The 25,786-nt window shown below is 43.5% G+C and overlaps 1 protein-coding gene across 1 annotated transcript, besides 1 other annotated feature; it reads left to right on the plus strand.

Moving 5' to 3' along the window:
- Positions 1–15,692: 15,692 nt before the first annotated feature.
- On the plus strand, positions 15,693–22,893 carry SUPT20HL1 (SUPT20H like 1). The gene has a single exon (NM_001136234.3). It carries the CDS (start codon positions 17,815–17,817, stop codon positions 20,476–20,478), a length of 2,664 nt encoding a protein of 887 aa, NP_001129706.3. The 5' UTR covers positions 15,693–17,814; the 3' UTR covers positions 20,479–22,893.
- Positions 19,656–20,396: an enhancer, noted in NCBI's record as "H3K4me1 hESC enhancer chrX:24382719-24383459 (GRCh37/hg19 assembly coordinates)". NCBI's record gives its function as "activates a minimal SCP1, AML or CMV promoter by ChIP-STARR-seq in naive and primed H9 embryonic stem cells {active_cell/tissue: H9 hESC(naive and primed)}" and the evidence as "EXISTENCE:reporter gene assay evidence [ECO:0000049][PMID:30033119]".
- Positions 22,894–25,786: the final 2,893 nt, after the last annotated feature.

Here is a 25,786-nt window from a genome sequence, read left to right on the forward strand (position 1 = left end):
GCAGAGACCAAGAAAAAGTACCGCCGTATGGTTATAAGGTCAAGCTCCCAAGGACATAAAACAAGATGGGAGGGAAACCTCATCCAGTTTTTTGTTGTTGTTTCAGGGACCTGCAGCAAAATTTATAACTGACCAGTTTGCTGGGCTGGGTTGAACAGTGAGCTTACGGGGGTCCTAAGCCTGCATTCTATTCTATAGTAGTACCCCTTTTTATGACAGAACGATGCAGAAAGACAAATTCATAGCACAAAGTACATCAGATTTGCTACAGCTTAAGACTAGCCTCATAAATCCATTTCCCATTAATCAAAACTTTACACGGGCGCTAACAGTGATTTTTACCATTCATTCAACCAGTTTGCACAGAGAGCAAGAGGCCAGAAGTCTGGTAAGAAATTGCCTTTTTGACAGCATGCCAGGTTTCTGGATTCCCTATCCCTGAGCGGCACCAGCGACCCTGCTCGCTGCTCCACAGCCATGGGGCCCAAGCCACAACACAAAGGAAAATCTTTTTTTGCTGTTGTTTCATGGAACCATAGTAAAAAGCCTTTCAATTTTATAAGTTGCTGCCCAACCGGATGCGTGGGGGACCCGAATTAACATTTTCCATTCTGGCCAGAGCAAAATATGTGTGACAAAACAGAAATTAGCCACTCTGCTTAGCGCCCAACATCGAACTGGCCAGGCTTAAACTTGCCCCTAGTTTGGCTCTGTCATCTTTCATCCATTCCAAGTGGATTAAAGGAGTTTTAACATGTGGTCTCTGGGCAAGATGGTTGTCCTGAGTAACAGAAAAGATAGAAAAGGGAAAGGAGAAAAAGAGAAAAGCATTGCTTGCGGCGAGTTGGGGAAGGCAAGGAGCTCAGAGTGGCCAGAGAAAGGCCCATCCATTACAGCAACACTGAATCAAAAGTTCAGGCGGCTCCTTATCAGTTGTGAAGGGATCTTTTCTAGCAGTCCTATTAGCCTGCAAGTTTCCCTTTCCGAGGAAAAAAAAGGTTCCCCATGCCCCATGATCCTGTACATGCCTAATCCTGTCACCTATAGCCATCAGCAAAAAGTGCAAGGCAGATTAATCTAAAGAGAATAGTGGTTAACATGCTATAGTGCGAAATCCATTTTTAACCAAGAAGGACTTTACTGAAGGGAGGGCCTCTAACCCAATCCTATCCTTTACCCAGGTAAATTGTACCCCACTACTTACCCCAAATCGGCCAATTGGTGTGCAGTCTATTTTCTTTGGATTGGGATTGTAACTAAGCCAAAAGATTAGCAGATTTAATTTTTTTTTAAATCAATTAGTCACTTAAGCTTTTTATTTGGCTTTCTTAAAGTCTTTAAATAAAAATATTGAAATTTTAGGAGCTTCTGCATATCAATAGGCATCTTCAGATAAGACTAATTTGGGAGCTCTCATTTGCAAATGCACTTCTCCAGTGCAGTGTTGTTCATTTGGAATGTTCACCGTAAGTTATCTTTAGTAAGATTTCACCATTTCTGTAAGACTTTGCTGCTTCCAGGGCCTAACACTTAGGCATGTGTAAGCCAGAAGGAACTCAGTTCTTCAGAAATTAAGGATCCCATTTTTTACCTCAAATTTTGTCTTTGTTCTCAGGTTCCCTTGATCAACTTAGCCAATGATTTGTTTTTCCTATCTTAGCATGCAAGAAAAATGAAACAAAGGGATAGAACGCAAAAATCCCTGTGAATTTCCAAAAGCCAAGTTTTACACACCCTGCAATATTGCCATTTACTACTGGGTTCTTTCTCACCCAGTCAGATGTAATAGGCCTCTAACTGGATCCAAACCAGTTAATTATCAGATCCAATCCGATCCCGGACCCAGTCCAGTTTCTGTCATGACTTCCAAACCCAGTTTGGATCAGAAATTTGCTCAAACTCAGCTCCAAACACAAATCTGTGGAGCTTTGGAACCGGAGAGAGAACTTACCATGATATCCAGCTGCTCCAAGAGAGAAACGGCACAATGGGTCTGGCAGGTGCCTTGCTTAGTCACTCAGCGCTCCTGCAGGTTGTTAGAAGCTCTGCTTCAAGTCCCACTTTTGACGGCATCTGATAAAAGAAAAACTTCAGCTGAATTAATTTATTTTTATTTTTTATTTTTTGAGACGGAGTCTTGCTCTGTCGCCCAGGCTGGAGTGCAATGGTGTGATCGTGGCTCACTGCAACCTCCACCTCCCGGGTTCAAGTGATTCTCCTGCCTCAGCTTCCCGAGTAGCTGGGATTACAGGTGCCTGCCACCATGCCCGGCTAATTTTTGTATTTTTTAGTAGAGACAAGGTTTCACCATGTTGGTCAGGCTGGTCTTGAACTCCTGACCTCAGGTGATTTCCGCCGCCCCCCCCCCACCCCCACCCCCACCCCCACCCCCACCCCGCCTCCGCCTCCCAAAGTGCTGGGATTACAGGTGTGAGCCACCGTGCCTGGCCAGCTGAATTAAATTTAAAGGAGTTTAATTGAGCAATGAACAATTTGCAAATTGGGCAGCCTCCGGAGCCAGAATAGGCTCTGATTCCAGTGCAGCCATGCAGTGGAAGAAGATTTATGGACAGAAAAGAGAAAGTGATGCACAGAAAATGGAAGGGAGGTACAGAAAAAGCTGGATTGGTTACAGGTTGGCGTCGGCCTCATTTGAACACAGTTTGAACAATTGGCTACATTTGATTGGCCAAAACTCAGTGATTGGCACAGGTGTGGGCTGCAGTCTGTTTACACCCCCACTTGTTATAGCTCACCACGTAAAGATAAACCTTTAGGCCAAACTTAAAATACGTAAGAAGACAACTTTAGGCTAAACTTGATTTAACACATGACGTTTTCCAGAGAGCCATGCCCCATAAATACAAACATTCCAAGTTTGTTTACCATAAACAATGCTAGATGAACCAAATACATTCTCCTGAAAACATTCCATAGATAAGGACTGTCCTGCTAGTTTAATATTATTAGTTTGTTTGCCAGGAGATCTGTTATTAGCATGTGTACAAGGAGATTTGAGTAACTCACTTTTTTTTCTTCCCAGGAAATCCTTCGGTTGGAGAGACTGGGTTGCAGCTTGCTGCTAATCCTTTCCTTATCAGTTTCCAAAGAACAAGAGTGGGAGGCAGGGTGCCTTCTGTGTTTGTGTATGGCTGTCCAGATTGTGGAAGCTCTGGGGCACTGGGGAAATGAGGGTTTTAGAGTTGGGCATACAGACAGATGACTTAACCAACTGAAGCTCAAATCTCAGCTGTCCCCTTTTTGTGTTACTTTAGGGAGTTAGTACAGCTGTCACCTCATCTGAAGAATGAGAATACTATCTACCTCATTGGTTTATTTTTATAAGCATAGAAGTCTTTTTCGCATGAAAATACTTTTTAAGCTTTAACAAGCTATACCCATGTACTGTATTACTGTTGTTATCAGTGGATGTCTGTAGCCCTTTCTATTTGGATGTCCATTTGTGGCCTGTTCCAAGGTTGGTGGCTCTGACTCTTGGCTGCAAAGCCTTTTAGTGGCTGAAGCTCTGTATTAGCAGCAAGACATCCTGGATGACAGAAATCCTTTGTTTTGGAAACAAAAAGTAGACCCGGGTCTACTTTTAGAGCACCACATTTTTCATTATATTTATTTTCACAGTCTACAATTTTATATATTTATATAAAAATAATAACAGCTGGCCCGGCATGGTAGCTCATGCCTGTAATTCCAGCATATTGGGAGGCCAAGGCGGGAGGATCACTTGAGCCCAGGAGTTTGAGACTAGCCTGGGCAACATGGTGAAACCCCGTTTCTATAAAAAATACAAAAATTAGCCAGGTGTAGTGGCACGTGCCTGTAGCCCCAGCTGCTTGGGAAGCTGAGGTGGGAGGATTGCTTGAGCCCAGGAGGTGGAGGTTGCAGTGAGCTGAGATCACACCACTGCACTCCAGCCTGGGTAATAGAGAGAGACCCTGTCTCAAAAACAACAAAACAAAACAAAAACAGCTAACAATATTGAGCACTTATTACATGCTAAGTACTTTTCCATGCCCTTTTAGTATCCAATTTAATCCTCCCAACAACCTAATGAGGTCATTATTTTTCTTTTTAATGATACATTTTAATTATTACAGAGATAAACACATATATTCAAAATGTCATGTTCTGCTTTGATCAATTAGCGATAAATTATAAAAATTTTTCCATGTTATTGTCACCATGATTATTTTTTATTTTTATTTTTATTTATTTATTTATTTATTTATTTATTTATTTATTTTTTGGGGGGGATGGAGTCTCGCTCTGTTGCCCAGGCTGGAGTGCAGTGGCGCAATCTCGGCTCACTGCAACCTCCGCCTCCCATATTCAAGTGATTCTCCTGCCTCAGCCTCCTGAGTAGCTGGGATTACAGGCATGCGCCACCACGCCCAGCTAATTTTTCTATTTTTTTAGTAGAGACGGGGTTTCACCATGTTGGTCAGGCTGGTCTTGAACTCCTGACCTCGTGATCCGCCTGCCTCAGCCTCCCAAAGTGCTGGGATTACAGGCGTGAGCCACCACGCCTGGCCATGATTATCTTTTATAAAGTTGTTTGTCAGACATTTAGACTGTCTGTAATTTTTCATAGAGATAAATACAACTATAAAGAACATATTTTCTAATAAAAATTATACTTACCTAAATCTGTCTTTTAACTTTGTTCCTGTAGGTTTTTTCCTATTTGTGGAAATTTTATATACATGTAGAAAAGTTCATGTAAATGTTCAGTTCAATGAATTGCCACAATAAAATATTACCTGCATCTAAAGCCCCCCTCATGTTTTCTTCCAGTAATTATGCCATCAGGCTCCACTCTTGTGTTTGGCTTCTTTTGTTCAACATTCGTCTATATTGTTGTGTGTAGTTATAGTTTGGTTCATCTCAAAGAAGGTGGGAATTATTATTAATCATAATTTATAGGCTAAGAAACGGAGTCACAGAAAGGTCAAGTAGCTTACTCAGAATCATATACTAGCAAGTGGCAGAGCCAGAATTTGAACCCAAGTAATCTGACTTTGCTCTGTTAACCATTATGCTAGACTGCAGCTCATAGCTATTTATTTAATGTCCATCTCCCCCACTATGCTGCAAGCTCCATTTAATACCCAGCACCCAGCACCTAGACATACCAGGTGACCAATAGGTATTTCTGACTGAATGAACAAAGAATGAATGAATGAATGAATGATACCAGATAGGCCTGCTTTTGTGATTCAGTGCTTTTGCCTCAGTTGCTAGAAATGCCTCTGAAGGTTCAGGATCTTCCTTTTCTTCACCTTGATTATGGGCACCTCCTCAGAATCACTCTTACTACCTGTGGTCACAGCCTGCTGATATCCCTTCTGCGGCAGCACACAGCAGCCTGTGTGACTCTACTGGGAGAAGACTCTGGAAGCTTCCATGTTGAAGGAAGATTTGCTTCTGTGTGTAGACCTTGGAGAGCTCCTGGGCCTTATCTTGTCCTTCCATAAGAGGGAGACACTAGGGTAATACTATTTGCTGCCCCAGGAGTTGGAATGGCCCCTATACAAGTTCATGCTTCTATAAATCCTGGAGCAGTTGAAAATGATTCCTGCACTCTTTTTTTTTTTTTTTGAGATGGAGTCTCGCTCTGTTGCCCAAGCTGGAGTGCAGTGGTGCGATCTCGGCTCACTGCAACCTCGGCCTCCCGGGTTCACACCATTCCCTGCCTCAGCCTCCCGAGTAGCTGGTACTACAGGCACCTGCCACCACGCCTGGCTAATTTTTTTGTATTTTTAGTAGAGATGGGGTTTCACCATGTTAGCCAGGATGGTCTCCATCGCCTGACCTCATGATCCGCCCGCATCGGCCTCCCAAAGTGTTGGGATTACAGGCGTGAGCCACTGCGCCCGGCTGATTCCTGTATTCTTAACCCTCAGCTTCCTGTACAGAATTTTGGTGTCCATGGACAGTTGGTCTCTTGACATTTGTGGTAATCTTTATGGTTTGATTTTTTCTTTCTTTGCCTAACAGTGAATCTTGTACTTATGATGTTACTGAAGCAGGGATATACTCAGGAACCACTTTCAGGTGTGTTCCATCCAAAGCAATGTGAGATTGACTGTAGGATTTGTGAATCCCAGGCCTGTGCTTGATTGATTGCACTCTTCTTCTCCACACCTGTACTGTAGTGAGACTTTGAGAAATGGCCCACCTTCTCCTCTGAAAATTGCCTTCAAAGGAATTAGTTTAAGCCAACTGTCTTAAAGCCCATAAATGATCACTACAGAATTTCCAAAACCAAGAGAATTGGTCCATTTCTCTAATACTTAGATTTTTTTTCTAACACACTGAGGCCTGGCACTATGATAAGAAAAAATAAATCTAGCAACAGTTCTTTGTATTACAGGAAGACACTTTTTCTTAGAACGTTTTAGCCATTATTCTGATGATCTGCATACTGGGCACAGGTAAACAATTTACATGGAGAAAACCCAAGAATTAACTATTATTCATCTAGTAGTCTGATTCTCAGCATTTTCTCCTTATTGAACGAATGCTGTATTTGATACAGGAAACACAGGTTTGGAAGAATACACATGCCAGCATTACAGGAAAGCAGATTATTTGCACTTTTTGTGGCCTAAGACAAGGGTTGGCAAACTTTTTCACTAAAGGACCAGCTAGTAAATATAATAGGCTGACAACCATACAGTCTCTGTTGCAACCCTTCACATATGCCCCTCTAGAGTGAAAGCAGCCATAAACAGTATGTAAATGAATGGGTATGGCTGTGTTCCAGTAAAACTTTATTTACAAAAGCAGTCATAGGCCTTATTTAACCTACAGGCCATAATTTGCCAACCCCTTGTCTAGGAGATCCAACAGAAAAAAATTAACCAAAGGAAAAAAGCCCTGTACAACATAAGTTGAGAGATAGACATATTCCCCAGATTGGTAAATCCTTTATAGAAATATCTATTTTTTTCCATGGTGTTCTAAATAAAGAAGTTGAACATGACAGTGAATGTTTTCAAGTGGGGATATGTGCAGAAAAGAGTTAACATACCGTGCCTAATTGCTATCCTTTAAAAAGCCTGCTTGCGGCCGGGCGTGGTGGCTCATGCCTGTAATCCCGGCACTTTGAGAGGCCGAGGCAGGCACATCACCTGAGGTCGGGAGTTCATGATAAGCCTGGCCAACATGGCAAAACCCTGTCTCTACTAAAAATACAAAAATTAGTCAGGTGTCATGGCACATGCCTGTGATCCTAGCTGTTTGGGAGGCTGAGGCAGGAGAATCGCTTGAACCTGGGAGGCAGAGGTTGCAGCGAGCTGAGATCGTGCCACTGCACTCCAGCCTGGATGGCAGAGCGAGACTCCATCTCAATAAATAAATAAATAAATAAATAAATATTAAAAACCTGCTTGCAAGGTTGGCCATTGACTGGTGTCGGGCAACTTAGATTTTGGGGAGGGTTTTCACCCTAACTGATAAGACTGGTTCACTGTGCATAAACTGTTTAAACAATATGATCTGTGCTGAACCCTCGCTTTCCTTCTGGGAGTCTAGAATTTGGGAAGGTGCCAGGCAGAGGCTACCTATGTGACCAGCCTCTGATAAGAGCCCTGATTGTTGGGTCTCTAATGAGCTCACCTGGTTGGTGACATTTCATGCATGTTGTCACAACTCATTGCTGGGGGGAATTAAACATGTCCTATGTGACTCCACTGGGAGAGGACTCTGGAAGCTTGTGCCTGGTCTTCTCTGGACTTCATCCCATGCACCCTTCCCCTTTGCTGATGGTGCTTGGTATCCTTTCACTGTAATAAAACATAGCTGTGAGTGCAAGTATATGCTGAGTCCTCCTAGCAAATTGTCAGACTTGAAGGTGGACTTGGGGACCTCCCAACACAGGGTACATTATTTCCTACCTTGTTCATTTAATGTCCTTGTCCTCCAGAAGTAAACCATCAACTTTAAATTTTGGAAATGTTCCTGATCACAGTGACAACACCTGGGTTTAATATAATACAGGATTTGCAGAATCCTGAGCCTGGAGGGCATGAGAAATTGCAAGACAGCATGTGGTCAGGGCTCCACTAAAAGGAACTGGGTGACCACTTACTAGAAAATTGGTCTGATTCAGCAGAAAATATAGCTTGATGATAAAACTATGACTGTTTGCAGCTTGTATATCTGAGGTCAACCTAACGACTTAATGGGTCAACACAGTTCCCAAAAACTACAACCAGACTTGAGGTTCAGTAAACGGCCTGTGCCCAGCTTCATTACAATGACCCAATCTGGAACTAATAAGCTTGGCCTTGTTCAACCAATCAGTCTTTGTGAAACTTTGCAGCTTTGCTTTTATAAGACCCACTCTGAGGGTCTCCAGAGGGTATGCTCTCCCTTGTATATTGCCTAAATGCTAGTAAATCCTCAATACGTCAGGCTGGGCATGGTGGCTCACGCCTGGAATCCCAGCACTTTGGGAGGCTGAGGCGGGTGGATCTCTTGAGCCCTGGAGCTTGAGACCAGCCTGGGCAACATGGTGAAACCCCGCCTCCTTAAAAAATACAAAAATTAGGGGCCGGGGACAGTGGCTCACGCCTGTAATCCCAGCACTTTGGGAGGCCGACGTGGGCAGATCACGAGGTCAGGAGATCAAGACTATCCTGGCTAACATGGTGAAACCCCATCTCTACTAAAAATACAAAAAATTAGCCAGGCTTGGTGGTGGGCACCTGCAGTCCCAGCTACTCGGGAGGCTGAGGCAGGAGAATGGCGTGAACCCGGGAGGCGGAGCTTGCAGTGAGCCCAGATTGCACCACTGCACTCCAGCCTGGGTGACAGAGCGAGACTCTGTCTCAAACAAAACAAAACAAAACAAAAACTAAAAAATTAGCTAGGCATGGTGGCATGCAACTATAGTCCCAACTACTCAGGAGGCTGAGGCCGGAGGATGGTTTGAGCCCAGGAGGTGGAGGTTGCAGTGAGCCAAGATCACGCCACTGCACTCCAGCCTGGGCAACAGAGTGAGACCCTGTCTCAAAAAAAAAAAAAATTCTCAGTACTTCAATTTTCAATTGTCTCTGAATGATTCTTTGACAGTTTGAAGACTCCATCCTACAGGACCTAATTCTACTTAAGTTTTCCCTAATCTTGTCTATCAGTAAACTGATTTTAATGCTCACCATGTCTCAAAGTCTTCATATTTCTTTTATTAGTGGTGACCTCAAAGGTTGTGTATAGGGAAGTATGGGGTGATCTGAATCATGCCAATGTCACTGAAACTGCCTTTGCAAAAATTATAACAGTGAGAAAATTAGGACAGTGAAAGAGATCTATCCTAATTGACTCCATATTGCTTTTAACCTGCAAATTGTCAAACAGAGCAGGCACAGAGAGCTAAAGGTGCCAGAGATGCTGAGGGAAGCGTGTGCATTTTTGATAACTGTGTACTTCTAGTGACTGCACAGTTTGAAATACCATGTCACTAATAGAATGTTTCAGAAGCCGGATTGATGTGGGGAAAGCACCTTTCCCAAGACTTTGTCTTGGCTCCCAGGAGGAGGGACTCCCTGACTTTGACACACATGGCCACCTTGGCATTTCAAAAGCCTTGTGGTATGGAAAAACAAATTCATTTTTATGTCCTCTTTTCCCTTTCCACCTTTCAGCACAGACTTAACTCCCTTAAACCCAGACATCTGTTGGGACCTCACCTCCAGTCATTGGTTACCAGTGTGTCAGGCAATCTGGACTTTCCAGTGATGCCACTGAGATAGCACCCCTCGAAAGAGCAGTGGTTCCATTTCTAGATGGTGGATCTTCAGACAAATTCGGCTATTTTCATTTCACTTCCTGAAAGTCAGGGTCAGCTCATGAAAAGTTGTTAAACAACATGCTAAACGTGAAATGTCAACCCTCACTCTAAACTTTCCCTGTTCAGAGCATCAGATGAAGACTTCATTGGGTTTTATAGTGGCTTTCTGATTTTTGGTAGTCCATTGAAGAAGGGAGTTTGAAAGCTGCATACTGTTAACGATTGTCTGCCCATGTCTGCCTGAAATACCATGATTGTTTATGGAAAGTATCTTTAATAAAGCTAGATACAATTTGGCTTGGAAAAAAAGAAAGCCACTCTACCCCCGTGAGGCGGGAGCCACCGTGTCCGGCCTCGGTCAATCAAGTCTTGAAACACATTATCACCTGCTATTGCGGGGGTATCGAGGGCAGGACACAACTGGGAACACGGCCTACCCTGGGCCGCCCTTCACTGCTCCATGACAGCATTATCACATAGAGGAAGACATATCCCCAGGTGGTGGCCCAGAACAGGAGCTCACAAAGCAGAAAGGGTGATGCCAAGTGGATGACTCAGGAGCAGGCAGATGAGGAACCTCCTTTTCTGGAAATATAACGTAAAAAAGTCATCTTTGAAGAGAGTAGGGGAAGCTAATGTTTGTGTTACACTTAGAGTTTAAGTTTCACACCAGATATGAGAGGTTCTTACATGAGATAATACTTTTGCACCTTGGCTTTGTAAAGGCCAGATTGTTATAAAAATGGTGATGGCACAAGGCAATGACTGTCTGGGCCAGATGAATGGATAATGAACAATCTTTCCAGAAAAAATGTAGGCCAGGAGTCATATCCAGCTTTCATATCTCACAAAACTAAAATTATAGTTGGGGGTATCATCTTTTCTTAGCAATGCATTTTGACTGTAATTTGGTATTAGTGTTATATACTTAGTAACATTAGTCAGCCTTATTAAAATGGATCTGATGACACAATTTTTTTCTTTTAAAAATATTTTAAGTTTTTACTCTTTTCAAAATGTAGGATGACTAAACAGGAGGTACTTTGTCTACAGGAACTTCTTTGGGTAAAGTAAAATAGTGAAATTTGATATACATATAATTTTAATATATGAATACATTATATATATTAAAGCTATACATACACTGAACCTGCTAGTTTCCCTTATATATTTATATTTTCATACTAACTTTATATATTTATACCATTGAGATATTTACATATAAAATTTTAGTACTTATATATACATATATAAACATATAGACACAAATACATGCAAATAGAATTTTATTTTTCTGAACACCAAGTATAATTTTTTTTTTTTTTGATATGGAGTCTTGCTCTGTCACCCAGGCTGGAGTGCAGTGGCATGATCTCGGCTCACTGCAACCTCCAACTCCCGGGTTCAAGCAATCCCCCCACCTAAGCCTCCCGAATAGCTGGGATTACAGGTGCCCACCACCATACTCGGCTGATTTTTGTATTTTTAGTAGAGATGGGGTTTCACCATGTTGACCAGGCTGGTCTCAAACTCCTGACCTCAGGTGGTCTTCCCGCCTCAGCCTCCCAAAGTGCTGGGATTACAGGCGTGAGCCACCACACCCGGCCTGAACACCAATTATAATTTTAATTCTCCAAGCCACATTTGGTAATTCTTGTAAAACCACGCAATCTATGGGCTGATTTAGGCACTAGAGTATTGTGGATAGTGAAAAAGATTTTTGGATGTTAGCCTTTGTCTTTGGAAGCCTAAGTGGTAGCATGGGTCTACTTTCCTACCTCTGCAGGTAGGGCACAATGAATGTAAGTGAATCTTCGAATGATGATGCTTGTCTTAGTCCATTCAGCCTACTAAAACAAACTACCATAGACTGGGTGGCTTATAGACAACAGATTTATTTCTCTCTGTTCTGGAGGCTGAAAAGTCTAAGATTCAGGTGCAAAGAGATTCAGCGTCTGATGAGGGCCCACTTCATCCTTTGTAGATGGTGTCTTCTTGCAGTGTCTTCACATGGTAGTAGAAGGGGCAAGGCAGCTCTCTAGGGCCTTTTTTTTTATTATTAGGGCACTGATCCTATTTATAAGGGCTCTGCCCTCATGTCCTAATCCGCCCCCCAAAGACCCCACCTCCTAACACCATCACATTGGGGGTTAGGATTTCAACATGTGAATCTGGGAGGGATGTAAACATTTAGTTCGTAACAATGCTAATCTTGCTTTGTCTCTGCATCTTGATCCCGAATATTGTTTTCATGATGCCTCATGGATGGGAGTACATTTTGGACCTGTTCATTTTCTTGTGATTTTCCTCTAATGTTTTGAGGGTCTGCTGAGTGAGGTTCTAATGGACTGTAAGCTTCACCTGAGTAAGTGCTTCACCTTGGGAAGAATTAGAAATAGGAAAAAAAACCAACTCTTGTCTTATTTCAACTCCTACAATCAGTTACCAAGCCCTGTTCAAAATATCTGAGACATGACTGAAGTATTTCCTTTACATCTTCACAAACACTGACTTCATTAGTTGCCACTGGGGTATTGCAATCACTTCCTAATCTGTTTCCTGCCACCAATCTCACTCCACTCCAGTCCACTGTCATCACCATGACTACAGTTAACATGCTAAAAAAGGTTACTCTTCCTCTCCAAACTGTTAATTAGTTCCCCACTGTCCCCAGGAAATAAAAGGTTTCTGAAGCAATTAGAAGGATGGTGGTGAGGGGGAACATAGCTAACCTTTAATGAGTTCTTACAATGTGCCAGACATTGTTTTATGGACACAATTTATTTGGACTATGTCACTTAACTTTAAAACAACTAAGTGAGTAGCCATCATCATCATTCCAATTTGTAAGTGAAGAAACAGGCACACAAAAGAGTTAAATAATTTGCTCAAGGGCACACAAATAATTAATGGAACAAGGATTTGGGCCTTGTAAGCTATAGAAATTGACAAGATGATTCTAAAATGTACAGCTTATGGAAAAGCAAAATGACTAGGATAGCCAAAACTACTTTGCAAAAGAAGAACAAAGTTGGAAAGTATCACTACTTGATTTCAAAATTTATTGTAAAGCTACAGCAATAAAGACACAATGATATTGGCACAAAAATAGACAAATAGATCAGTGGAATAGAACAGAACTTCATATATATGGTCAATCTTTTTTTTTTTTAACAAAGGTATAAAGGCAATTCAGTGGAGAAAGAATAGCCTTTTCAACAAAGGATGTTGGAATGTTTGGATATCCATATGCAAAAAATAAAACATGACTTACACTTCACACCTTATACAAAAATGAACTGAAAATGGACCATAAGCCTAAATGTAAAGCTTAAAACTATAAAACTTCTAGAAGAAAACATAGGAGAATATCTTTGTGACCTTGGGTTAGGTAAATTTTTCTTAGATCTGATACCAAAAGCACACTCCTGAAAAGAAAAGTGATAAATTGAATTTCATTAAAATTAAGAGATGCTGCTGTTCAAAAGACACTGTCAAGAAAATGAAAATATAGCTACAGATTGGGAGAAAGTATTTGCAAAACACGTATCTCCTAAAAGACTTGTGTCCAGATCATATAAGAATTCTCAAACCTCAATGATTAAAAAAATCCAAAAAAATAGGCAAAATATTTTAATGGACATGTCACCAAACATATATGGATAGAAAATAAGCTCATGAAAATATACTCAGCAGCACTAATTATTAAAGAAATAATCAAAACCACAATGAGACACACTAGGTACCTACTAGAATGGATTAAAACAAAAGAAATCTTGGGAGGCTGAGGCGGGCAGATCACGAGGTCAGGAGATCGAGACCATCCTGGCTAACACAGTGAAACCCCATCTCTACTAAAAATACAAAAAATTAGTCGGGCATGGTGGTGGTTACCTGTAGTCCCAGCTACTTGGGAGGCTGAGGCAGGAGAATGGCGTGAACCTGGGAGTCAGAGCTTGCAGTAAGCTGTGATCGCACCACTACACTCAAACCTGGGTGACAGAGTGAGACTCCATCTCAAAACAAAACAAAACAAAACAAAAAAACAAATCTGACAATACCAAATGCTGTCAAGGATGTGGAACAACTGGAATTCTCAACATTGCTGTTGGGAATACAAAATGGCACAGCCACTTTAGAAAAGAGTTTCACAGTTTGTTATGAAGCTAAACATATACTTACCATGTGATCCAACATTCCCCTCCTGGATATTTACCCAAGTGAAATGAAAACTTCTGTTCACAGAAAATCTTATTTGTGGATATTTCCATCAACTTTGTTCATAATTGCCTAACTGGAAAGAATCCAAATGTCCTTCAACTGGTAAACAGGTAAACAAACATTGGTTAATCTATATGATGGAATACTATGCAGCAGTGAAAAGCAACAAACAACAAATACATGCAACAACATGGATGAATTTTTTTTTGAGACAGAGTCTTACTCTGTCACCCAGGCTAGAGTGTAGTGGTGTAATCACAGCTCACTGCAGCTTTGACCTCCCTAGTGCAACCAATTCTCCCGTCTCAATCTCCTGAGTAGCTGGGACCACAAGAGTGTACCACCATGTCCAGCTAATTTTTTGACTTTTTGTAGAGACGAGGTTTCACTATGTTGCCCAGACTGCCTCGAACCCTTGGGCTCAAGCGATCCACATGCCTCAGCCTCCCAAAGTGCTGGGAATATAGATGTGAGCCACTGTACCTGGCCTTGGATGAATCTTAAATATAGGTATGTGAAGGAGGCCAGTCACAAGGGCTATATGTTTTATGATTCCATTTATATGACTTCCATTTATAAGCCCTTCTGGTAAGGCAAATCTATACGCACAGAAGAAAGATAACCAGTTGCCAGGGATTCTGGGTGGGGGAAGAAGTTGACTCCAAAGATGCATGATGGAATTTTGTTTTGCAAGATGGAACAGTCTATAACTTGATTACGGTGGTGGTTGCATGACTATACATATTTTTCAACACTCACAGAACTGAAAAGGATGAATTTTACTCTGTGTGTATTATATTTAATTTTTTTTAAGTTTATGCTTGACCCAGAATGGGTACAGAAAAAAGAAATTAGGCCAAGTGCAGTGGCTCACACCTGTAAACCCAGCACTTTGGGAGGCTGAGGTGGGAGGATCGCTTGAGCCCAGGAGTTGGAAACCAGCCTGAGCAACCTGGCAAAATCCCATCTCTAAAAAAAAAATACAAAAATTAGCCAGGCATGGTGGTGCACGCCTGTAGTCCCATCTACTCAGGAGGCTGAGGCAGGCAGATTGATTGAGCCCAGAAGGTAGAGGCCGGAACGTCAAGGCTGCAGTGAGCCATGATTGCGCCACTGCACTCCAGCCTGGGCGACAGAGCAAGACCCTGTCTCAAAACAAGAAAGAAATTTACCAATTGAAAATTAGGTAAATTATCTCGCAATTAATTGAATTCTCTTATTCCTCCAGCAAAGGTTAGTCTGGCCAGGACATTTCTTAGCATGTGAATCTCTGCTGAGCTGCTACAGGGGAGGGCTGTAGTTGAAGATCTTTTAATGAACCAGAGTGTTCGTTAACATGCTTGGAAGGCTCAAAGGATGGTGTGGACACAGAGTAATTTTTTCTAACAACATCATATTGTGTAAAAACAAGGCAATTAGGCAGCACAAGTGAAGGGGATGGCCAACCATGATAAGCAGTGTCAGGCCTACTAATGCATGTTGACACACACACACACACACACACACACACACGTACACACATACACACACACTGACACACACACATACACACACACTGACACACACACATACACACAGGTTCACAGCCTCTTCCAGTGCACCTGTGGCCTAGGTAGCCTTGGCGTCTTCCCTCTGGGAAGTCAAGAGTGAGTCACATCCTCCATTTTTGGTCTTGTTAGCTTTAATACCTGAAAAAACCTTACATTAAATTGCCCATTTCACTTGGATGGAATATAATTTCACTTCTCCATATGCCCAGATGTATTACATAGCACATTATCTACATCGATAAGAATGAATGGCTGACTTCTCTCACTCATCTTCAGTCCTAAATGCAGCAAATGCTGCCGGTGCCCTGTCCATCTCCCCTTGGCACTCACCATTCTGTACACACAGACAGAGTATTACCGCAAGCACCTGTGACTTTGTCTGAGGGCATCCTCGAGCCAAATCAGCATGGGTGGCCCCTGTATGTGGCAACCAGAAGTGTCAGGGAATAATGCTCCCAGGACTGTCCTCAGTCTATGAGAAAGAAAAGTGGATGAATAAATACCCCAGCTTCCTTGCATCTAGGACGGGACAATCTGAGGCTTATTCTGTACTGTCTTCCAAGGTCCCCAGCATGGACCAGTTGTCTGGAGCCGCTTGTGCTCAGGAATACGTCTCTCATTGTCTGTTTTCCTATCCCTGACTCAGCTCCCCTTTCTGTCACCAATGCTTCTAAGGATTAGCACCCAAAGAAACTACTCCCACTCAAATCCTCTCCTCCGGGAATGCTTTTGGGGAAACCCAAGTGAAGACAGGGGCAATTCGCCAGCTGAAGATCGAGTCCATCCCATGGCAGGGTGGGCAGATATACCTCTCTAATAAGTGAGATGCACCCTGGGATATCAGCGGAGGGAGGGGCAGAATTTAGATCACACTCATGAGTCAGAAAAACAGGCTATGGAGTAGTTCTCCCCAGAAAAACATTATTGATCTTGTCCAATAAAACAAACAAAACCAAACAAACTGGGAGATTTCAAGGCAACAAAGTTAATGGAAAACAATGTCCCATAAATTACCTAAGACTGAATGATATTGCTGCAAATCCATCTTTAGGATCTTAGCTAAGGTCTACAGTTTACTCTAATCATTGAAAATTTATTGCCATCACCTGGAACAATTGTTCTCGTCCTTATCAGGTGCAAATCACCTTGTAGAAATGAATGGTTTCATGTCTCTCTACCATCCTGACCTGCAATCCATAGACAATGTAATGACCCACCACGTAATTTTTTAATCTGTAAGTGCCCTAACTCAACACATGGAGAAATAAAGGTGAGTAATTATGTAAATGAACGTCAGGTACTGATGCATCTACATGAACACCCCCAGGCGGGAGCTCACTCGACGACGACAGGAAGAATCCTGATGCTTGCCACAAATCTGTGGCGTCTCTGGGCATGGAAGCACTGCTACCGCGGGCTCATTCCGCAGCCCAGTGGCTGACAGATACCAACAGCAGCCTTGCAACTGATGGCAAGAGATTCCAAAAGTGCCAACAATTGTTGAAGTTTCCACCAAGATCAGTGACAACTTCCCATGATTTCCCGACAGCGGCATTCCTGTGGAAACTGATGTCTATGCACGGTGCGAAAGATACATCTATACCGTCATTGGTGGCTTATGCTTTTGCATGTATGCTTTCAAGGTGAAATGGCAAGTAGTCGAGTGCAAGTGCGGGCAGCAGACCCGGAAGTGCGGTGGGTGAGCCTTGCGCCCAGGAGGCTAGAGATGCAGGAGCCCCAGAACCTGCGGTGCAGCGAGTGCACATGCGCATAGACGGGGCCCAGGAGCTGACCCTGGCCCTCCCGTTCGCTTCCGGTGTAGCATGCAGAGACGTGAAGCCCGGGCCACGACGACGACCCCTCAGGTACCGATGTTTTCAGAAACCCTCAAACAGATTGGGTAGCGCTTCCCTGGGGGCAGGTTTCTGGGCAGGTGCCCAGACGCGCCTAGAAGCTGACCCCGGCCCTCCCGCTCACTTCCGTTCCAGGCCGCAGAGACGCGAAGTCCGGCCACGACGACGACCCCTCAGGTACCCATGTTTTCAGAAACCCTCAAACAGATTGGGTAGCGCTTCCCTGGGGGCGGGTTTCTGGGCAGATGCCCACGTTGAACTCAGTGTGGACTTGTGGCATCTTGCGGGCCTGTAGATTAATATGACAGCCGTGATTCCACCCTGCTTCACCAACGCACATGCGTTTTCTCTCCTCTTAGGGGCCCTGTTTTCTGTTACAATGGATCGAGATTTAGAACAGGCTCTGGATCGCGCAGAGAATATCATTGAAATTGCCCAACAGAGACCTCCTAGAAGGAGATACTCACCTAGGGCGGGAAAAACTCTGCAGGAAAAACTTTATGACATTTATGTTGAAGAATGTGGAAAAGAGCCTGAGGATCCTCAGGAATTGAGAAGCAATGTAAACTTGTTAGAAAAGCTTGTTAGGAGAGAGTCCTTGCCATGTTTACTGGTCAATCTATACCCAGGCAATCAGGGGTATTCTGTGATGCTCCAGAGAGAAGATGGGTCCTTTGCAGAGACCATTCGGCTGCCTTATGAAGAAAGGGCATTGCTGGACTACTTGGATGCAGAAGAATTACCCCCTGCTTTGGGTGATGTCCTGGATAAAGCTTCGGTTAACATTTTTCATAGTGGGTGTGTCATAGTAGAAGTTCGTGACTACAGGCAGTCCAGTAATATGCAACCTCCTGGTTACCAAAGCAGGCATATTCTTCTACGTCCAACGATGCAGACTTTAGCCCATGATGTGAAGATGATGACAAGAGATGGCCAGAAATGGAGCCAGGAAGACAAGCTTCAGCTTGAGAGCCAGCTGATCTTAGCGACAGCTGAACCACTGTGTCTTGATCCTTCTGTAGCAGTTGCCTGCACTGCAAACAGGCTGCTGTACAACAAGCAAAAGATGAATACCGACCCGATGAAACGGTGCCTCCAGAGGTATTCGTGGCCCTCTGTAAAGCCACAGCAGGAGCAGTCTGACTGTCCACCTCCTCCTGAGCTGAGAGTGTCGACTTCTGGCCAAAAAGAAGAAAGAAAAGTAGGTCAGCCTTGTGAGCTGAACATTGCTAAAGCAGGAAGTTGTGTAGACACGTGGAAAGGCAGACCCTGTGATTTGGCCGTGCCTTCAGAAGTGGATGTGGAGAAACTTGCTAAAGGGTATCAGTCCGTCACAGCTGCTGACCCACAGCTCCCAGTCTGGCCAGCCCAGGAGGTAGAAGACCCTTTTGGATTTGCGTTGGAAGCTGGCTGTCAGGCCTGGGACACCAAGCCAAGCATCATGCAGTCGTTTAATGATCCGCTTCTCTGTGGTAAAATACGGCCACGTAAAAAAGCCAGGCAGAAGAGCCAGAAGTCTCCCTGGCAGCCCTTCCCAGATGACCATTCAGCTTGTCTCAGGCCTGGGTCAGAGACTGATGCTGGGAGGGCAGTGAGTCAGGCCCAGGAATCGGTGCAGAGCAAAGTCAAAGGTCCAGGCAAGATGTCACACAGCTCCAGTGGCCCAGCCAGTGTCAGTCAGCTCTCTTCATGGAAAACACCAGAACAGCCTGATCCTGTGTGGGTCCAGTCTTCAGTATCGGGGAAGGGAGAGAAACATCCACCTCCCCGCACCCAACTTCCCTCAAGCTCAGGAAAGATTTCCTCAGGTAACAGTTTTCCCCCACAACAGGCAGGCAGCCCTCTTAAGCGTCCATTTTCTGCTGCTGCTGCTATTGCTGCTGCTGCTGCTGCTGCTGCTGCTGCTGCTGCTGCTGCTGCTGCTGCTGCTCCTGCTCCTGCTCTAGCTGCTGCTGCTGCTCCTGCTCTAGCTGCTGCTGCTGCTCCTGCTCTAGCTGCTGCTGCTGCTCCTGCTCCTGCTCCTGCCGCTGCTCCTGCTGTAGCTGCTGCTCCTGCTGCTGCTGCTTCTGCGGCACCAAGTCATTCTCAGAAGCCCTCTGTGCCTCTCATTCAAGCTAGCAGGCCCTGTCCAGCTGCCCAGCCCCCCACCAAATTCATAAAAATAGCGCCAGCCATTCAGTTGAGGACAGGCTCCACTGGCCTAAAGGCCATCAATGTGGAGGGCCCAGTCCAGGGAGCCCAGGCTTTGGGGAGCAGTTTCAAGCCTGTGCAGGCCCCTGGCTCGGGTGCCCCCGCTCCTGCAGGAATCAGTGGCAGTGACCTTCAGTCCTCAGGAGGTCCACTACCAGATGCAAGGCCCGGTGCAGTGCAGGCATCTTCTCCAGCACCCCTTCAGTTTTTCCTAAATACTCCGGAAGGTCTCAGGCCTCTGACACTCCTCCAGGTTCCGCAGGGCTCGGCGGTTCTGACCGGCCCGCAGCAGCAGTCCCATCAGCTGGTTTCCCTGCAGCAGCTCCAGCAGCCCACAGCTGCTCATCCTCCTCAGCCAGGGCCACAGGGTTCCGCACTAGGTTTGAGCACGCAAGGGCAGGCCTTCCCTGCTCAGCAACTTCTTAAGGTGAACCCCACTAGAGCCAGAAGTGGTCTGCAGCCCCAGCCCCAGCCTGCTGTGTTGAGTCTGCTTGGCTCTGCCCAGGTTCCTCAGCAGGGTGTCCAGCTCCCCTCTGTCTTGAGGCAGCAGCAGCCACAGCCACAGCCGCCGAAGCTGCAACTGCAACCGCAGTGGCAGCCAAAGCCACGGCAGGAGCAGCCACAGTCGCAGCAGCAGCAGCCGCAGCATATCCAGCTCCAGACTCAGCAGTTGAGAGTCTTGCAGCAGCCGCAGCATATCCAGCTCCAGACTCAGCAGTTGAGAGTCCTGCAGCAGCCAGTGTTTTTGGCAACAGGCGCTGTTCAGATAGTGCAGCCACATCCAGGTGTGCAAGTAGGGAGCCAGTTGGTAGATCAGAGGAAGGAAGGCAAGCCAACCCCTCCAGCGCCCTGAGGCTTGTGGTAGTTTGTCTCTCTTTTAAAAGCACAGGAGCATTGACTCAAATGATTTCCCAGTTTTTACTTGAGTTTTGTTTTTTTTTTCATGTTTCGGTATTTTACATTTTAAAGTACACAGTTTACACAGAAGCACAATCCACTGATTTTTCTTTAGAAACGGAAGTGATTTCCTAAAGGAGCGTTGTTTTGCTTAAGTTACTCTTTTTGTTGTCATTGCTGCTGTCGATATAATTATTTTTAATATAGTGTTTTAAAGTGTCCAAATCCCAACCAGTTTGAGTCTAAACTCGTGAAACGTATAATTTCTCTAAAGCCGTAAAATGGCAATACCAACAATATTAAGTTAATATTTTAACAAGATTTTAATTTTAAGTTAATATTTTAACAAGAAGAGTGGGATTAAATTTATTTTAATGGTGGTAAAAACATATAATCTAAAATGGACCACCTTCACTATTTTAAGTGCCCAGTGCAATAGTATTAAGTCCATCCCCACGGTTGTGCCGCAGATCTCGAGACCATCTTGCAACACTGAAACTCATGCCCATTGAACAGCAGCTCCCCATTCTCCCTTGCCCAGTCCCTGGCAGCCATTGTTCTACTTTCTTTCTCTATGAGTTGACTACCCTGGCCACTTCATGGAAGTGGAATCATATGGCATTTGTCATTTGATGAGTGTCTTATCTCACTTGGCATAATGTCCTCATGATCTATCCCTGCTGTCTCATGTGACATAAAGGTCATTGCTTTTTAAAAATGGTTTCCCTGTACATAATATATATGAAAGTGACTTATGAATTCTGAGAAACCTCTTTCAGAAGAATTCTGAAAGAGTGTAATCGTATTTAGATTAATAGGTTTATGTACAATATATGGAATGGAATTATTACACATTCATTTTGAAAAATGAAATGAAAAAGTACAATACAGTGATCCTTGTCACACTGCGATTGAATACATGGAAGACCTCTAAAGCTGTGGAATGGAATTAGTGGCAGATTTGCTTGTGACAGTCCCCTGCCCTTTCAAAGGCCCTGTCTGCACCTAGTGCTCCACAGAGCAAGGCTTTCTCACTGGCTTTGAAAAGGCTCTTTTTGGATGTTTTGTGTGCTCTCTTTATAAAATCATTTACATTTTTTGTAGGTTGTTTGCAAGAAACATTTAGTGAAACATTTGAAAATCCATTTTATTGGTTTGCTTTTCAAATATCTGTAGCCTTGTTTCTTAAGTAGAACCCCCGTCTTTTTCTTTGTCTTTTTCTCTTTGTTGATGCATCATCATCAGTTGTTCATCTGTTTCTGCTCCCTCATTTTTTCCCTTGTTCCAGTGAGACTCAAAGAACCATGAACTTTTGTGCCCCTTTGTCTTCCCTTTCTTTTTTCTTTTTTAACAACTAAGGGGTAATCACAGAACAACCAACCATTGTAAAGTACAATTGTAAAGTGGCATTTAGTACATTCATGATGTTGTACAACTACCCCTTCTGTTTCCAAAACATTTTCATCACCCACCAAGCAATCTCTGTACCCATTAAGCACTAGCGTGACATCTTCACACTCCCAGCCTCTGGCAACCACCAATTTGCTTTCTGTTTCTATGGATTTACCTAAATATCTCCTGTAAATGTAGTCATACAGTATGTGATCTTTTGTGTCTGGCCTCTTTCACTCGGCATAATGTTTTTGAAGTTCATCTATGTTGTAAAATGTATTGCTAATTCATTCCTATCTGTGGTTCAATAACATTCCATTGTTTGTATGTAGCAGATTTTGTACATTCATCCGATGATAGACAGTTGGTTTTTGTCTGCCTTTTGGCTGTCGTGCATAGGGCTGCTGTCAACATTTGTGTAGAAGTATTTGTTTTAGTGCCTCTTATATTTTGCTCTGTTACAGCTTTGAAGGGTACCATGTTTATATAATATTTGTTTTTCTAAGTATACATGTATGTTTCTCTGCCTTTTGCCTTAACGAAATGAAAAGAAGTTTGGTCTGGCAGTTCCAAAAGACATCAGTGAAGAGGCAGGTAACTGGTTAATCTTACTTGACAAAACCTATTACTAATGTGCTACTGATGCTGTTAAAGAAAGACTTGGCCAACTTCAAGAAAACACATCGAATTTCCTGAGTGACACCAAGTCCATCAGATCATCCTGGGCATAATTGGAAATGGTGCCTGCACTTTTAAGAAGCGAACCAGTGCAACGACTGGTTGCAAAGAAGAGTTTCTCCTTAGCTTTGGGTGCCAACTAGAGACCTGAACTCAGAATATCATCAGATTTGGTCTACTTCCTTCCTTTGTTGTCTATCTGGTCCTTTCAAGTACTACATGGAGCTACCAGCCAAACTTGTGCTTGAGTGATGTGGCTCTTTCCTCCCAGGCAGGCAAATAAATTCAGCTTTGTTTCAGATGACTGTTTGGCAAACTTTGTTGATTTCCTTCTAATTATCCCCACCTACTTGGTACTTTGATACAGGGTACCTTTTGAAGACATTAGCTGGCTACATTTTGTGAGTAAACTTTTTATTTATTTTAGTATCATGAGAACCTGGATGCTATCCCAGGACAAATTCAAAATTAGTTCTCTGCAGGTTGCATGTTCAGGGCTTAACAGCAGAACGTTGATGGTGAAGTGGTTGTGTGAAAGCAGTTGTCCCTAGAATGTTCTGACAGTTTGCAGAGAAGGTAGGCTTGCAGATGAGCATCCAGGAAAATCCAGGTAGGCCCAGCACAACAGGACATGTCAGGTGGAATTGAGCCTTTGTCACAGGGTGGGAATTTGGGAACAGGATTATATTCCTTGAGAATAATTGCAAGTGAAGAGAGGACTCTAGCCCTAGAACAGGGCTATCCAATAGAAGTATAATATGAGACCCATATATAATTTTAAATTTTCTAGTAGTCACATTTTTTTAAAGTAGAAAGAAACGAGACATTCATTTTAATAATAATTTCTGTTTAACCAAATATATCCCAAATATCATTCCTATGTTATCAATATTTTAAAATTCTCAATGAGGCATTTTACATGAGGCTTCCGACTGCAGAGACTCTCAATTCATATACCAAATTTTCATCAAATATTTGATCTGTATTTAGATTTTGTAAACCTTATAGTTGAAAATGTAGATTCACTTTCCAAACATACTTGGAAGTTTTCCCATAATTGAATCAAGTACAAGTTTTAAAATTTAAATTAATTAAAAGTACATGAAATTTAAAATTAGTTCCTCAGTCTTGCTTGTCACATTTCAAGTGCTTAATAGCCATGTATGGCTAGTGGCTATTGTGTGGGTCAGCGCAGTTCTAGAGGGACAGGAGCAAAGCAGATTATGGGGACAGAGCATCAGGCATGACCTGGGTTTGGGGCACACAGGTGGAGTGAGATTTATGATGCTGATTGCATGTAGTGGGCTGGAGCTTCTTGAGATCCTCATGGCCTATGGTCATCTGGGCCAGGACCTGCAGGATCAAGTCGCCCCAGCCATGGAGCGAGGAGGGTGGAAAAGGTCAGTCTTTTGCCAGGCTCTGTACAGCCATATGCAAAAGACCTACCAGGAGGACACTCATTTTCCCAGCAGTCAACTCAACAACCCGTATCTACCCTAAAGTGCTTGGAACCTAAGGGAGTGGGAGAGAGGAGAGGCACTGCACTTTTTTTTCTTTTTTTTTTGAGGTGGAATCTTCCTCTGTTGCCCAGGAGAGCAGTGGCGTGATCTCGGCTCACTGCAACCTCTGCCTCCCGGGTTCAAGTGATTCTCCTGCCTCAGTCTCCCAAGTAGCTGGGATTACAGGTGCCCGCCACCACGCCCAGTTAATTTTTGTATTTTTAGTAGAGATGGGGGTTTCACCATGTTGGCCAGGCTGGTCTCGAACTCCTGACCTCAGGTGATCCACCCACCTAGGCCTCCCAAAGTGCTGGGATTACAGGCGTGAGCCACCGTGCCTGGCCGGCACCACTCTTTTATTCTTCCTTTTGCACCTCCTTCCTGTGCATCTTCTGGGTCTCTAGCTCCTCCTGCAGAAGTGAAACCTGATCAGCCATGAGTTGATAATTGTGGGAGCTGCTGGTTGATGGGTATATGGAGACTCATTATACTATTCTACTTCGGCATATGTTTGAAATTCATTTATATATGAATTCATAGATATTATATCCATTTGAATAGTCAAGTTCCTGATATTCCTACAGCCCCATTAACACACCTTCCCCCCATCCCAACCTTTATCTTGTACTCGAAGTCCAGGCCCCAGCCCTCGACTTGCCCTTCTGTCTTCCCTGCTTTACTCCCATAGCAGGCAGCAAAGGGTGTGCGAGTTAATTGTTAAATTCAGTTCAACAAGTTCCTCATTAGGGACAAATTACCTGAGTTTGAAATCTGCTAATTTTCCAATCAGAGTGAGTGTTTGCACTTATGATTTGGAAATAATTACCATATGGTAAAAGCAAAACCTATTTGGGGATTAAAGTAAAGGTGAGGGAGGACAGGAGCTTATTTTGGCAACTTCCCTGGAAACCCACGTTAGCATTTGCAGATTAGTGGAGGTGCCTCTGCAGTTGGGGTGGGAAAGCTCACCTGTAGCACTGTTTTGCAAAGGCTGTTTACTTCATGTGCTAATACCCCTGAAAGGTGACTGTGGCCTTTGAAGGGAGAGCAGTGTGGCTTTTGTAGGCCAGAATTACATCTGGGAAAGAGAAAAGCCTTTTGAATGTAGCTATTTCATCTAAAAATATATCTATACTTTTATTTAAATCTGTCCTCAGTCTGAAGCTTCTGCATGAGTTGGAAATAAAAACATTTCTTTGAGGTAGAAGGGGTGAGTCTAATTGTCCTTTGGGTGATCTCACAATGAATGTAGCAGGGAAAGTTCAACTGAGAGAATTTAAAGAATTATAGGAGAGTAATTGCTGCAGAATACCACTGTGATCCAGAGTGTAGAGATCTAGGTCATTCACCTTCAATAATTTGTCCCAGTCCCAATTACTACATCACTAGTTCTAAAGCTTTAGAAACCCCTTGGTAAAGATTAGTCAAGGTTTCAGGTAATTTACAAGCCAATGCAGAAAAACTTCTGAGATGTTGCTTTTGAAATTTGGAGCCAGGAAAAGCTTTGTCTCTCCTGAGAAGGCATCCTTCCTCCTTTCTGATAACTGTAGTTGTGCAAGTTCTGAGGTTTCTCTTTGTGCCTCAGCTGCCGGGAAACTCAAAACCAAATTTGTAGCTCAAATCGCTGCGTTTACATTTATGGTTGGCACTTCAGCATTCCTCACTTCTTATTTTTTATTTCTACTTTACTAGTTC

The sequence above is a fragment of the Homo sapiens genome, chromosome X (assembly GCF_000001405.40).
Source record: "Homo sapiens chromosome X, GRCh38.p14 Primary Assembly".
NCBI classification, from domain to species: domain Eukaryota; kingdom Metazoa; phylum Chordata; class Mammalia; order Primates; family Hominidae; genus Homo; species Homo sapiens.

Bases quoted from the DNA above. Each gene is read 5' to 3' on its own strand.
- SUPT20HL1 (NM_001136234.3), top strand. From the start codon at position 17,815: ATGGATCGAGATTTAGAACAGGCTCTGGATCGCGCAGAGAATATCATT.